We start from the raw sequence: 15,114 nt of genomic DNA on the forward strand, positions 1-15,114 counted from the left end.
TTCCTGCCAGCATACACGAGGAAACCTAGTGTTGAGAGTAACTGGCTTGCAGGCCTCACGCAGGGTAGTGCAGCCCAGCCCTGACGCCTGCAGGCCCCAGAGCTGAGGCCCAGCAGATACTGTGCACCCATCCCAGACTCAGCAGGCTTGTCCCGGCGGAGCTGGTTTTGAGGGCGGGCAGCAGGGAAGGCCGGGGCATGGGGTGGCTGCCCAATGCTCAGGCTGCTTGTCCCATTGTGCCCCCAGGGAGACCTGCAGGAAAAGTCCCTGGAGCATCTTCGCTTGCCGGACCGGAGCAGCCTGCTGTCCGAGATCCAGGCGCTGCGTGCCCAGCTGCGCATGACGCACCTGCAGAACCAGGAGAAGCTGCAGCACTTGCGCACGGCGCTGACAAGCGCAGAGGCGCGCGGGAGCCAGCAGGAGCACCAGCTGCGCAGGCAGGGTGGGTGTCACTGTCTACACTGCCTGGGGCCCGGCCTCTGCACCTGCCCGCCCGACACTCACCTGTGTGGCCTTGGGAGCAGAGGGTGGTGACAGGGCATCATCTAGTCAAGCCCCTGAGTGTTGCCATGGTTGTCAGCTGATAGGACTGAGCAGAAAGGACCCTGGAGACAGGCAGCGCTGGGTGGGGCTGGCACGGAGGCCTCACTCTTGGGCCTGATGTGGGCAAGAGGGGCCTGGGTTGGGCTCTGAGTGCTGGCAGATTCTTGGGAGCTCATGCTAGAGTTCAGGAATGTCTCGTAGGTTTCTACATTTAATTTAGCTTCTTCGGGAGTTTTTATGTAGATGCTCAGGTCATCTGTGGGTAAGTAACGATTTTTTGTTTCTTGCCCGTGTTCTCTCACGTGCTGTGCCGTCAGCTGTGTGGGCAGATGCCATTCCCTGCTCTTAGTTTTGGGGGCAGGAGCTGGTCTCGTACCATCGCATGTGGGGTCAGGCGCCCTTGGTCAGCTTGGGCAAGTGCCCTCTGTTCCTAGTTTTGGATTCCGTCAAGGGGAACGGCCTTGCAGTTCAGCCCACGGCCCTTGTCCCGGCGCCCATGCCCTTTGTGCTCTCTGGGGCTGGGGGCCGGCGCTGTGCACATGCTCGTGAGGGGCATGGGTGGGGCTGGCGCTGTGCAAGCGCTTGTCAGGGGCATGGGCGGGGGGTGCCGGCGCTGTGCGAGCGCTCGTGAGAGGCATGGGGGGGCTGGCGCTGTGCACGTGCTCGTGAGGGGCACGGGCAGGGGGTGCCGGCGCTGTGCGAGCGCTCGTGAGGGGCATGGGGGGGCTGGCGCTGTGCACGTGCTCGTGAGGGGCACAGGGGGGCCGGCACTGTGCGATCGCTCGTGAGGGGCATGGGGGTGGTGGGCCGGTGCTGTCTGAGTGCTCGTGAGGGGCACTGGTCTGTTTTCTGTTGTGCCTTTTTGGTCTTGGTGCTGGGTAGCGCCAGCCCCACGGGGTGCGGGAAGTATTTGGGAAGTAGCCCCTCCGCCCTCCGTTGTCTAGAATTGGGGTTATTTCTTCCTTAAGTTTTGGGAGAATTTTCCAGTAAAGCCACCTGGGCCTGGAGTTCCCTCTGTTGGAGGCAGTTTAGGGTGTGAGTGGGGGTGAGGTGGCATTTTTAGGATGGCCCCAGGGCTATATCACTCCTGGACTCTGTGTCTCCCGGCCAGGTGGGTGGGCCCTGGAAGGAAATGGGCCCAGAGGGCAGAATTGAGCATCCTGGTTCCACCCGCAGTGAAAGCTTCTAGTCCACAGAACCTCCTTTCTTCCCGAAGCACATACACCTCACGCCCCCACGAGTCTGTCTCTAACCTGGTGTCACTTGTGCAGCACGAGGAGCTCATGGGGGCCTGTTACTGTTCTTTTGTCTTTCTCAGTTGAACTGCTGGCTTATAAAGTAGAGCAGGAGAAGTGCATTGCTGGTGACTTGCAGAAGACGCTGAGTGAAGAGCAAGAGAAGGCAAACAGCGTGCAGAAGCTCCTGGCGGCGGAGCAGACTGTAGTGCGAGATTTGAAGTCCGACCTCTGTGAGAGCAGGCAGAAGAGCGAACAGCTGTCCCGGTCCCTCTGCGAGGTGCAGCAGGAGGTCCTCCAGCTGAGGTGCGCCTGATCCCCCTTCCTGGGACACTGGCGGGAGTCCCCCCGTTGTGCCATGTTTTCTTGGTGATGAAGGGAGACAGAACCTCTGGTGGGCCGCAGTTGGGCAGCCCCAGGGGCACCGCGCCCTGCTGTCCCTGGGTTGATAATCCTGTGGTGGGGGGTGAAGCACACGTGTGGGACCTGGCAGGGCTCTGCCTCCCCTCCTGGAGCTCCCAGCCCCCGGGAACACACTCTGGCCCACGTGGTCAGATTGTTCTGCGATGTCTCCACGCAGATCCATGCTGAGCAGTAAGGAGAACGAGCTGAAGGCCGCGCTTCAGGAGCTGGAGAGTGAGCAGGGGAAGGGGCGTGCCCTGCAGAGCCAGCTGGAGGAGGAGCAGCTGCGGCACCTGCAGAGGGAGAGCCAGAGTGCCAAGGCCCTGGAGGTAACAGGGTGTCAGGGCAAGGCAGCCGGCATGGGCTGTGTGCACTGGAAGCCTGAAGCCATGCTCCTCTTTCATCCTTCTTTTCCTGTTCTTCATGGCAGTGCACCCAGTTGACAGCAGTGTGACGTAGCAGGATAGGGCTGTGTTTGCAGGTAAAATTGCACCTTGGTGTAGTGGCAGCCACCACAGGGCGAAGAGTGCGATGACCCGTGGTGGCACGATACCCCTGCTCGGAGCCCCCCCCCGTCCCTGAGCACTTGCTGTGGAGATGGACACAGCCTCCTCGCTGGCATCCAGACAGAGCACAGCCTCAGAGGTCTGTGCACAAGGCAGGCTGGTGGTGGGGCCTCTGCTTTGCATGGCGGAGGCCCAGCAGGCCTGCTGTGGCTTCTGAGCAAGTCTGTGCCAGTTCCATGGGTTATGGCTTTCAACAGCATGGAAGTGGTGGTTCCTAGCAAGCTGGGTGTGTATCTCTGAGCCTCTGGTGGAGTGATTTTCTGAAGAGGGGGCAGGAGCCTCTGGTGGAGTGATTTTCTGAAGAGGGGGCAGGAGCCTCTGGTGGAGTGATTTTCTGGAGAGGGGGCGGGCAGGGGACATCTCTGAATCATTTTCTGGAGAGGGACAGACTGGGAACATCTCTGAACCCAGGACTCAACACCATTTCCGAAAAAAGTATGTCATCTCCGCAGTCTGGGTTTTTTGTTACTTGATGAACTAACAAAAAAATGTTGTCCCTACATGTGGCTAATAGGGTGCATTTCAAAAGGTAGAATTGCTGGGCTAAAGTATATAAACAAATGTGGACAGGAAAACCATGTAGACACTTTTCCTCTTGATTCAGTGTCTCCCATCGTATGTGTTTGCTGTCTAGGAGCTGCGGGCGTCTTTGGAGACACAGCGTGCTCAGAGCAGTCGACTCTGCGTGGCACTGAAACACGAGCAGACGGCCAAGGACAACCTGCAGAAGGAGCTGCGTATCGAGCACTCACGCTGCGAGGCCTTGCTGGCTCAGGAGCGGAGCCAGCTCTCTGAGCTCCAGAAGGACCTTGCGGCTGAGAAGAGCCGCACCCTGGAGCTGTCAGAGGCCTTGCGGCACGAGCGGCTCCTGACCGAGCAGCTGAGCCAGAGGACACAGGAGGCTTGCGTGCACCAGGACACACAGGCCCATCACGCTCTGCTGCAGAAGCTGAAGGAGGAGAAGTCCCGGGTGGTGGACTTGCAAGCGATGCTTGAAAAGGTGCAGCAGCAAGCCCTGCATTCTCAGCAGCAGCTTGAGGCTGAGGCTCAGAAGCACTGTGAGGCGCTCAGGAGAGAGAAGGAGGTAAGTGCCACACTGAAGTCGACGGTGGAAGCCCTGCACACCCAAAAACGAGAGCTGAGATGCTCTCTGGAGAGAGAGAGGGAGAAACCAGCGTGGTTGCAGGCAGAATTAGAGCAGTCACACCCACGGTTGAAAGAGCAAGAAGGACGCAAGGCTGCGAGGAGGAGCGCGGAGGCCAGGCAGAGCCCAGCGGCTGCGGAGCAGTGGAGGAAGTGGCAGAGAGACAAGGAGAAGCTGGTGAGAGCCGCCTGCCGGCGGAGCGTCCACACCTAAAAACGATAAGCAATTGGAGTTAGGATGGTTCACGTGGGGGACGCGAGATTTATGTCTGGCCCTCTGACCTGGTCTGCTCTGGTCTGTGTGCCCTGACGCTGGCACCACACTGCTGTTACTGTAGCTTTCTAGAAAGTATTGAAATCAGGAAGTGTGAGTTCTCCAACTTCGTTCTTCCTCTTCAAGATAGTTTCAGCTCTGTGGGGCTTCTTGCTATTCCACAGGAATTTGAGGATTGGTGTTTGTATTTCTGCAGAACCTGCCACTGGGATTTTCTTAGGGATGGCATTAAATGTGCTGATTGCTCTGGGTAGTATTGACATCTGGACAGTGTGAGGTCTTTTGATCCACGATTACAGAATGTGTCTCTTCATTTAATTAGGATTTTTTTGAGATAGGGTCTGGCTCTGTCACCCAGGCTGGAGTGCAGTGATGTGATCTCAGCTCACTGCAGTCGCCGCCTCCTGGGTTCAAGCAATTCTTCTGCCTCAGCCTCCCACGTAGCTGGGACTGCAGGCACATGCCACCACGCCTGGCTAATTTTTGGATTAGTAGAGACAGGGTTTTCCATGTTGGCCAGGCTGGTCTCAAACTTCTGACCTCAGGTGATCCGCCCGCCTGGGCCTCTCAGACTGCTGGGATTACAGGCGTCAGCCACCACACTCGGCTGTTTACTTAGGCCTTCTTTAGTTTCTTTCAGTAGTGTTTCATTGCTTTCAAAATATAAGTTTTATACTTTTGTTAAATTTATTTACTTATTTATTTTTTGAGATGGAGTCTCATTCCGTCACTCAGGCTGGAGTGCAGTGGCACGAACTCAACAATGTTGAATAGAAGGGATGAGAGCAGGCCGGGCACGGTGGCCGATGCCTGTAATCCCAGCACTTTGGGAGGCCAAGGCAGGCAGATCATTTGAGGTCAGGAGTTCAAGACCAGCCTGGCCAACAAGGCGAAAGCCCATTTCTACTAAAAATACAAAAAATTAGCCGGGCATGGTAGTGTGCACCTGTAATCCCAGCTATTCGGGAGGCTGGGGCAGGAGAATTGCTTGAACCCGCAAGGCGGAGGTTGCAGTGAGCCGGGATTGCACCGCTGCACTTCAGCCTGGGCAACAAGAGCGAGACTCCATCTCAAAAAAACAAAAACACTCTTTGGAATAGTCGTAGTTTTTTTTATCTCCAGAAGCCTTGGAGAGTAGGGAGGTGGTTTGGTGGTACAGACAGTGTGGCCAAGCATGGCAGGGGCGTCTACACAGGACCCCAGCTGAGGGTGAGACGTGGTGTGTGTGTTTGCCTTTCTCCTGGGCAAGAGCTCATCCTTTGATGGAATGCTCAAAGGAGTCTTTACTTTTTGAGAACTTCCTGAAACCACGCCTGAAGTTGCCAGCCAAAACCTTTAATTTTGATTGTTTCTTAAAAAAAATAGTAACATGAGTGCTTAGAAAATATTTTCTAAGTTGCTTGCTTCAGGATGCATCTTGACCTGTATTTTGAGTGAGGTGGCCCTTCCAGAGTGATTTATTTATTAATTTTTTTTTTGAGGTAGAGTCTCGCTCTGTCTTCCAAGCTGGAGTGCAATGGCACGATCTTGGCTCACTGCAACCTCCACCTCCCGGGTTCAAGTGATTCTCCTGCCTCAGCCTCCTGAGTAGCTGGGATTACAGGTGCATGTCACCACGCCCAGCCCAGCTAATTTTTGTATTTTTAGTAGAGACGGGGTTTTACCACATTGGTCAGGCTGGTCTTGAACTCCTGACCTTGTGATTGATCCGCCCACCTTGGCCTCCCAAAGTGCTGGATTACAGGCGTGAGCCACTGTGCCCGGCCTCCAGAGTGTTTTTTACTGAGGATAGTGAATTTGATCTGGATTATAGAACCCTTCTCTAGCTGTAGCCATGGAAGCCTCCCAAGATAGTGGCATGCTGGATACAATTCCATCTTTTCTAAATAATACAATCTCATTAGTTCCTCTGTATCTTACTTTCCTTACTAGAAAATAGAAAAGATACTCATTCCTGTTTAAGAGGCCCGAGCATTGAGTGAGGCGCTGTCAGGAGGGTAGAGTCTGAGCTGCACCCTGGTCACCGCAGTGGCAGGGGCGCTGGTGCCACACAGTGCAGGCTCAGCTGTGGGTCCTCTGGGCTGGGAAGGCCTCAGCTCAGTGCTGGGGTTCCCTCCCTGACACGGCAAGCCGCCTCTGTGTGTCTGCATCTTGGGCCTCTTCCCGCTGGATCTGTCTTTGTGTTGTCACAAGGAAGCCCCAGCGGCGCTGCTGGGAATCAGAGGCCCTTCAGAGGCTGCTTCGTCCTTCCTTGCCCCATCGTGCAGTAGACCTTCTGTCCCCTGCCTGGTGGGAGTCGGGCCCTGGGCAGGGGCTCAGGCGCTTGCTGACACGCTTCTCCCGGGCACCAGACATGGCCTGTGCCCCCGTCCTGCAGAAGGAAAGGCTGCTGCTCCTTGAGGTCTGGCTTAGGAGCTCAGGCCCACGTGGCCACCCAGGCTCAGCCCCAGGGCTGCACTCAGGCTCATACGTGTGTGCATGTTCACATGCACAAATGTGCCTGTCTGTGTCTATGTTGGTATGAGCGTCTGGGCGTGTGCGTGTACATATGTGGATGAGTGGGACCAGGGCACAGGGAAGCGTCATCCGGTCTGTTCTGTTTCAGCTTCTCAGGCTCCTCTCCTTTGGACCCCGCGTGCTTGCCCTGGGCCTGATGAAAGCCTGATAGTTTTAAAAACTACGATGGAAACGCTTTTACCACTGAATCATTCTGGGGTGTGTGATTCAGCTGCCTCCATGCTGGAGGGACACAGAGCAGCACAGCACGAGGGTGTGCAGTGTGTCAGCTGTGGGTCCCAGTACAGGACCACAGGGGCTGCCTGCCCGAGGGCCTGTTTCTGGTCTGTGAGGGGCCTCCCCTGTAACGCGGCTGTGTGTTTTGGGCTTTTGCTTGGCAGTTGTTGTTTTTTTTGTTTTGGTTTGGTTTTTTTTGGTAGATGGAGTCTCACTCTGTCGCCAGGCTGGAGTGCAGTGGCGCAATCTCAGCTCACTGTAACCTCTACCTTCTAGGTTCAAGTGATTCTCCTGCCTCAGCCTCCCGAGTAGCTGGGATTACAGGTGCGCACCACCACGCCCAGCTAATTTTTATATTTTTAGTAGAGACGGGGTTTCCTCATGTTGGCCAGACTGGTCTCGAACTCCTGACCTCAGGTGATCCGCTTGCTGCAGTCTCCCAAAGTGCTGGGATTACAGGCGTGAGCCACCACACCCTGCTGGCAGTTTTGTGTTTTGTTTTGTTTTGTTTTGTTTGAGATGGAGTCTCACTCTGTTGTCCAGGCTGAAGTGCAGTGGCGCAATCTCGGCTCACTGCAAGCTCTGCCTCCCGGGTTCACGCCATTCTCCTGCCTCATCCTCTCGAGTAGCTGGGACTACAGGCGCCCGCCACCACGCCCGGCTAATTTTTTGTATTTTTAGTAGAGGTGGGGTTTCACTGTGTTGGCCAGCATGGTCTCAATCTCCTGACCTCATGATCTGCCCGCCTCGGCCTCCCAAAGTGCTAGGATTACAGGCATGAACCACCGCGCCCGGCCGGCAGTTTTGTTTTTGGACACTGACGTGAACGTCTTCTCTGTCTTTTTTCTGTTAACAACAGCGAGAATTAGAACTGCAGCGTCAGCGTGACTTGCATAAGATCAAGCAGCTTCAGCAGACAGTGAGAGACCTGGAGTCGAAGGACGAGGTGCCTGGCAGCCGCCTCCACCTAGGTTCTGCCCGCAGGGCTGCCGGCTCGGATGCGGACCACCTCCGGGAACAGCAGCGAGAGCTGGAGGCGATGAGGCAGCGGCTGCTCTCTGCCGCCCGGCTTCTCACCAGCTTCACCAGCCAGGCCGTGGACAGGTGTGCACCCACGCCACCTGGCGCTCACTGGTCCCTTGCAGCCACCCCTCTGTCCCAGACCCGGCCCGAGGGCTGGGGCGCGTCTGGTGTGAGGCCCCTGCTCCTTTGCACTTAACGCTCTAGTCCTCTTTCTGAGACTTTGCTGAGGGATTCCGGATTGGCAAGATGGCATGTTCATATTCTAATGTCAGAGAAAAAAATCCTGTGATTCAAAATACGCCTGACGTGGGGCTTCCATGTTCCTTTGAGGGTTGGCTTGGTTCTCTTTACACTCTGTGTAGTTGCTCACCACCCACAGGGTCGGGTTTGGAGCCTCCTGTGGCCCCCCCCCCCCCCCCCCGCTGGCACTGCCCAGTGTCACTCAAGGCCACTCACACCCAGGATGACGATCGTGATATTTCATATGGGCAGAAAGGGTAATGCTAATGTTTGTCTTTTTCCCTATACACAGAAACTCGGCAAACACAGTTCTCCTTTCTATACTTGGACTTAATGTATAGAGCAGCATGATTTCTAAGCAAAGTTTCACTTAGGACAGCATTTTAAATCATTCATTCCAGAGGAAAGCCACGGGGCCTGGCAGGCGGTGGCTTCCCGTGCTCGGTGGCGCGCCTCCCGGCTGGAGGTTTCTGAGCTCTGCAGAAGCGTCCAGCCACAGGCCTGTTGCCCCCGTGGGCCCCTGGCTCTGCCTCACGGCTGGACGAAGTGATTCACACACAGGCTCCTCAGAAACCTGTCTTGTCTCTCTTGAGCCGTGAGCTCTTGTTTAGTTTTGCATAATGGTCACTTGGGGCGCGTATGCAACTTTGAGTGCCCATTTATTTTTACAGGACAGTTAATGATTGGACGTCATCCAATGAGAAAGCAGTGATGTCTTTACTGCACACGTTGGAGGAGCTGAAGTCTGACTTGAGCAGGCCCACCTCCTCCCAGGTAAGGGGTGAGCGCCCCCAGGTCCCTGGCCTGGCTCCTCCCCCAGAGGGGCCCTCTCGGCAGCTTTGTGGTTCTTTTTCACGCTTCCCCATTGTTCTTCCTCCCTCGCTGCCTTCTCTGAATTCATGGTTGCTATCTGGGTGAGTGGGTGGGGTCGACCCTGTGGGCCGAGTGGGGACGGATGTCCTCCATGTCCTGGGGCACTTGTGTGGTCTTCGGGGGCTGAGCCCTGCTGCCATGGGATGCTGTGTGACTGTGTGGTCTTCGGGGGCTGAGCCCTGCTGCCATGGGATGCTGCGTGACTGGTAGAGCCCCCTCACATGCTGCTCGCTGTGCATGACCTGGACACATTGCAGGTCGCTGGTCAGGAGGGGCTATGGTTCTGCTCTGGTGCTGGCGGCCGATGTTCACCTCCACCTGGCCCAGCCTGCTGGCTTTGTGTTTGCGTTGACGGCCTTTGCTAGAAACAAAAACCCAAGTCCTCCTTGGAAAGTCTGAGCTCACTGTAAGCTGCCTCTGAAGGAGGTGGGAATCTGGCTGCTGGTATAAATTCTTGATGTGTGTTCTGTGGCATTTATGAAATCATGACTTTGATCGTGGAGCCCACGCATGTGAGGTGCAGGGGAGCTGCGCCGCTTACCCTCTGGCCCCGCCAGCTGAACGTCGTTGTGGGTGGGGTGCACCCTGCCCCCTGTGTTGGGCCCTGGTGACCTTTCAGCGTGCCCACCCTCCACAGGCTGAACGTCCTTTTGATGGTGGAAGTAATAAACCTGTTTTGAGGGGCTTCACATCCGCCCCCTTGGGATGAACTAACAACGGTCCAGCCACCTGTTAATTTCAGTGCTGTTAGAACAACCAAACGGGCTATGCTTTGTGACAGGCCTGCGTTGTTCATACAAGCCAGTTGCGTGCAAAGTCTGTGATTCAATGACTTTTACAATTTTCTGCCAGCTCCACAAGCTTCTCATTGAACCCCAGACACATTAATTACAATCCCTAAAAATAACTGTTGACAAAAAACACAAGTAATGTTCATGCCCTTTAACAACAAATTCTTACAAATTTATTTTCTTTTCTCCAAGAAAAAAATGGCAGCAGAGCTGCAGTTCCAGTTTGTGGACGTCCTGCTGAAAGACAATGTTTCCCTCACAAAAGCGCTCAGCACGGTGACCCAGGAGAAGCTGGAGCTGAGCAGAGCCGTGTCTAAGCTTGAGAAGTTGCTGAAGCACCATCTGCAGAAGGGCTGCAGCCCAAGCGTAGGTGTCTGTGCTTAACTCTTACCTGCCTCAGCCTAACCCACCATGGTCCAGAGCAGCTCCACCCCACAAGAGGCCGGGCTCCCTTTAGGGACCTGGGGATGTGGGCGTCACCTTCTCCCTAACCGCCAGGCTCTGTTGCCTCTGTCTGAAGCCTTGCTAAATGTTGTGGGATGTTTGAACATCTCAGCCGACTTCCAGCTCCGCCACAGACGGCGTCCTCACTGACCCTGACCGCTACTTGATGTTTGGTGCATGTTCATAAAAGGGTATTTTGACTAAGAATATTATAATCTGATCTAATTTAGAGTTTTAGTTAAAGTGATTTATAATTTTTTTTTTTTTTTTTTTTTGAGACCGAGTCTTGCTCTGTTGCCCAGGCTAGAGTGCAGTGGTGCGATCTCAGCTCACTGCAACCTCCACCTCCCAGGTTCAAGCAATTCTCCTGTGTCAGCCTCCCAAGTAGCTGAGATTACAAGTGCCCGCCACCACACATGGCTAATTTTTATATTTTTAGTAGAGATGGGGTTTTGCCATGTTGGCCAGGCTGGTCTCAAAATCCTGACGTGATTCCGCCCACCTCAGCCTCCCAAAGTGCTGGGATTACAGACATGAGCCACCGTGCCCGGCCTAAAGTGACTTATAATTTTCATAATGGTATAGTTGGATAGAGTTATCTTCCGGAATGTCTCATTTTTTTTTCTTTTGTATTTAGGCTATTTTGTTTGTGATTTGCTTTATTTTTTATAACTTTTTAAAAATTATTTTTAAATTTACATACAGTAAAATTTGCCCTTTCCTGGTGTAGTGTCATACAAGTTCACACACACACACATCCCTGTAACCTTCATAAGTAACCACCATTCACAGAGCACACAGCGATGGCCCCCCCAAAAAGAGCAGCAGGCATCTCCGCCTGCCACAGGCCCTGGCTCTCTCCCAGAAAGGTGTGTCAGTGGAACCAGCCCGTCTGGGACCTCCTAAACTGGCTTTTTTCACTTTTTGGGTTTTTTTTCTGAGACAGGGCCTTGCTGCATCTCCCAGGCTGGAGTGCAGTGGAGCAGTCACAGCTCACTTCAGCCTTGACCTCCCAGGTTCAGGGATCCTCCTGCCTCAGCCTCCTGACCTGCAGTGGTGTCAGCAGCAACCTGTGCACGTCCTCCCGTACACTCTTAAGTCATCTCTAAGATCACTTGCAGCACCTCATTCAGTGTAAATGCCACGTAAATAGTTGTCATCCTGTATTGTTTAGGGTGTAGGGGCAAGAAAAGAAGCACACGTTTGGTACAGACACATCGTTTTTTCTGAATATTTTTCACCCACAGTTGGTTGAATCCATGGATGTGGAACCCACAGCTGTCGAGAGTTGACTGTGCTTGTAGTTACCAGTGGTTGGCATTTCTAGGACCGGAGAATATGAGAGTGTTTAAGGCTTAAAGCTTTGAATTTGGGGTGATTTTACAAAGAATTGGTTTTCTGTTTCTGTTAAAATGTACCTTTTTTGCAATCATACTTCAGCAAGTGGCATGTCGTAATTACTCCATGTTAATTCTTTGGCTGATCACAGCACGGCGTAACCTAGGCCCTGCTGAGGGGGTGCTGAAGTTGAGGAGGGGCCAGGTGTGGTGTGGTCAGCCTGGCCTCCCCGCACATGGCCTTCTCCCTCACCTGCCCCCGGCTGCGTCTCTAAGATGCTCTTGTTGACGAGCAGCTCTGTAGACAGCGCTGGCTGTGCTTCCTTACAGAGGTCGGAAAGGTCTGCTTGGAAGCCAGACGAAACGGCTCCACAGAGTTCCCTGAGGCGCCCAGACCCCGGCCGGCTTCCACCAGCTGCCAGCGAGGAAGCACACACCAGCAATGTCAAGGTAGGAACGGTGCCACGAGTATAGAACTTTGGTGCTTTTTTAAGTCCTGGGTTTGCAAATTGCAGGCAAAGCATTTTTGTGACCACAAGGTTCTCGTCTGCCGGGTGTAGCAGTCACATCACTAAAGGAAAGGACGTTCACAGAATAAACTTCGGCTTGAATTTTGTTTTAATTGTGCACAAATACTGAGTTTCTGTGCTTGTTAAGCGTGGAACGTGGAAGGCTTTGACAAAGTCAGCAAATGGCGGCCTCTGCAGCCTGAGGGAGGCCTGGCCCAGGGGCTTGCCGGGATTCGGCCCAAGATCTGCTGCAGTCTCCTGATGGCACACGGTCCCCACCCCGTGACGTCCATCTCATGCCCAGTTTGGACCTTACCTAAGGGGTGAAATGCAAGAAGCTTCATAGGGGCTCATTTGATGATGCTGTGGAGAGGAGCTTGTGGTCCTAGATCTTGTCTGACAAACACAAATTGATCTTCCAACAGCAAGGTTGTTTCTGGCCACAGATACTGTTGGAAGGCCGATGGCTCTGTGATGATTTGATGGGAAAAAACAATCTGACTCTTTGGAAAGAGCAATGGTGTTAATGTGCTTTTGTCAGCAAGACAGTCTTTGTTTCCTATGATAAAATTTTACTGCTTTTTTTCTTTTAGATGGAAAAATTGTACCTGCATTACTTGAGAGCAGAGAGCTTTAGAAAAGCTCTGATTTATCAAAAGAAGTATCTTTTGCTGTTGATTGGTGGATTCCAGGATTCTGAACAAGAAACACTCTCCATGATTGCCCATTTGGGGGTATTTCCTTCCAAAGCAGAACGGAAAATCACATCTCGTCCTTTCACCAGGTTCCGCACGGCCGTCAGGGTGGTCATTGCAATATTAAGGTAAATGCCATGACGTTCAGTCAGTGCGTTCCGCGTCTGTCTCCGTGAGTGGGCAGCACACTGCATGGTTTTTTGGTCATTTTATTCCTTGAAACTCCATAATATGTTCTTTTTAAAGATGAATGGCATTTGAGGCCTTAGAGAAAATACAGATGATGAACTTGTCTTCAAGAAGTCATGTGTATGAATCTCTCACCTTCTAAAACTAAAGATTTAAGGGCACCTTTGTATTACAGAGGAACATCTTGACTTTTAATGGGTTTCGTGCCACAAAGAACGTGCTGAATTTCTAAAACTGTTTTTCCCCCTAAACACTGTGCGGCTGTGCCTGCTCCCTGATGCCACAGAGGTGTTTCCCAAGGCCACGCGCGGGCCTGTCTGGAGTAGCAGATGCAGCAGAGAGCAGCTAGGAATCCCGCTCCTTTCAGAGACCAGGTGCCGAGCCAGTTCAGTCATCGCGGCTGCAGGCTGGGCCAAAGTGGGGTGCAGGCGAGGCCTCCTGGGTTGCTGTACTCTCAGCTTCTCTGGTCCTGGGGCACTTTGTCTCCTCGTCTCTGAGCTCCCCTGACCGTAGGCCTCCACCGTCCATCCTTCCACCCACCCATCTGTCCATCCTGTGTTCATGGGGAGAACACCCTGCAGGAGGAAGCATTTTAGGCACTAGATAGGGGAGGTAAGCAGACCCAGATCCTACCTCCTGTCGAGGAGGGGAGATCTTTTGAAGGCAGTGGTGTCCCAGAAAGGAGCAGTCTCTGTGTCCCTGTGAGGGCACTGCCTAGGGTAGCTGCCACCAAGGGGCCTTGACAGGTCTTATGGAGGAATCGGCAGTGTCTGCTATGCCTCAAAGGAGGGAAGCCACAGGCATGATGCTTGTTCCGAAGGCCATCCTAGCAGGGCGTCTGGGGCCCTGCACACTGACCTGCATGCCCTCGTCACCTGCACTCTGCATGCTCACCATCTGACGGACTCCTGCGAGGGCTGGGGTCTCCGTGTTCTGAGCCTGTCCAGTGGCATCTGTGACAGGATGAAGATGGGAGGGTCCTGCACACCAGGCGGGAGCGGCATGTGTTTCCTAGTCACTGGTGTGGCCGGCTGACTTTGAACTGGAGTCGTCCTGAGCTGGGCCATGGTGGGTGTCTAGGGGACCATATGGTCCACGGTGGGGCCGCAGTGAGGCTTTGTCAGGTGGTTGGGCATGGGAAGGTCGCCGCCGCCGGCAGCCCTGCGAGCACTTTGGATGTGTGCACCCGGCATGCCAGGCCCGAGTCAACAGACTGGCCGACCTTGGCGTCCTGGTCCCCATGGGCAGCGAGGCCCCCATTCTGCTTGTTTGGTCACAGTGGGGTTTTCATTGCTCTTTCCCTTCCTGTCTTGCCGTACTTTTAAGTGTGTCTTGTCTCTTTTTTTTGTAGATTACGTTTTTTGGTTAAGAAATGGCAAGAAGTAGATCGGAAAGGAGCTCTGGCACAAGGCAAAGCCCCTCGCCCAGGTGGGACTCCAGCTGCTGTTGACCGCTGGACTCACAAACCTTTCTTTCTACTCTTGTTTTTCATTCACTTTGGGTCATTTTTCAGTGTTGATGGGGACGTAATAAAGCACGGTAAGAAAATCCGTGAATTCCGTCAGAGCAGTCGTCCAGAGGGAAGGCGCGCCCGGCGTAGGGAGGTCAGAGCTCATGTTAGCTATGAACACAGGTCACAGGGGCGTACGGCGATGGGAAACACTGAGATGCTCAATATATTGATTATTTAATAGTGTTTAGCAAAATGGTCTTTTTTTATTCCTTAAATCAACTGAAACTCACTTCACGTCTCTTTCCTTGTAGAGCATCATGCTTATTTCTGGCTCACTCACATCTTTGTCTCGGGAGTTCTCTGCCGAGCCATTGCCCCCTACAGCAGAGAGCACAGCTGGCTGCACTAGTGCTGAAGGAGCCAGCCCCAGAGCAGGGCATTTCCAGGGGCTCTTGTCCCAGAGCGGCAGGCGTTGTGTGCAGAGAACGCCCCTCCCACGCAGCACAGAGAACGCGGGGTGGGTGTGTGGCTCCGGGCCTGTGGGGCTTAGGCTGCCTGAACCACCGCCGACTGGCACCATGACTCGGCATTCCTGGAAGTGCCTTACCAAGTTGTTGTTGTTGTTTTGTTGTTTTTTAAGAGACGGGCTTGCTCTATCATCCAG

The 15,114-nt window shown here is 53.9% G+C and overlaps 1 protein-coding gene across 2 annotated transcripts in view; it reads left to right on the forward strand.

Moving 5' to 3' along the window:
- PCNT (pericentrin) overlaps window positions 1–15,114 on the forward strand; it is a 121,614-nt gene that overhangs the window by 103,993 nt on the left and 2,507 nt on the right. Inside the window, exons 35-44 of one of the 2 annotated variants that reach the window (NM_006031.6) lie at window positions 247–442; window positions 1,862–2,084; window positions 2,359–2,509; window positions 3,381–4,067; window positions 7,756–8,000; window positions 8,831–8,933; window positions 10,016–10,189; window positions 11,935–12,054; window positions 12,707–12,936; window positions 14,349–14,425. In NM_006031.6, the coding sequence (NP_006022.3) occupies window positions 247–442; window positions 1,862–2,084; window positions 2,359–2,509; window positions 3,381–4,067; window positions 7,756–8,000; window positions 8,831–8,933; window positions 10,016–10,189; window positions 11,935–12,054; window positions 12,707–12,936; window positions 14,349–14,425 (2,206 nt within the window). The remainder of the gene's footprint in view (window positions 1–246; window positions 443–1,861; window positions 2,085–2,358; window positions 2,510–3,380; window positions 4,068–7,755; window positions 8,001–8,830; window positions 8,934–10,015; window positions 10,190–11,934; window positions 12,055–12,706; window positions 12,937–14,348; window positions 14,426–15,114) is intronic. The other variant, NM_001315529.2, reaches the window with a different exon arrangement.

Source organism: Homo sapiens, chromosome 21 (genome assembly GCF_000001405.40).
Source record: "Homo sapiens chromosome 21, GRCh38.p14 Primary Assembly".
In the NCBI taxonomy this organism is placed as follows: Eukaryota; Metazoa; Chordata; class Mammalia; order Primates; family Hominidae; genus Homo; species Homo sapiens.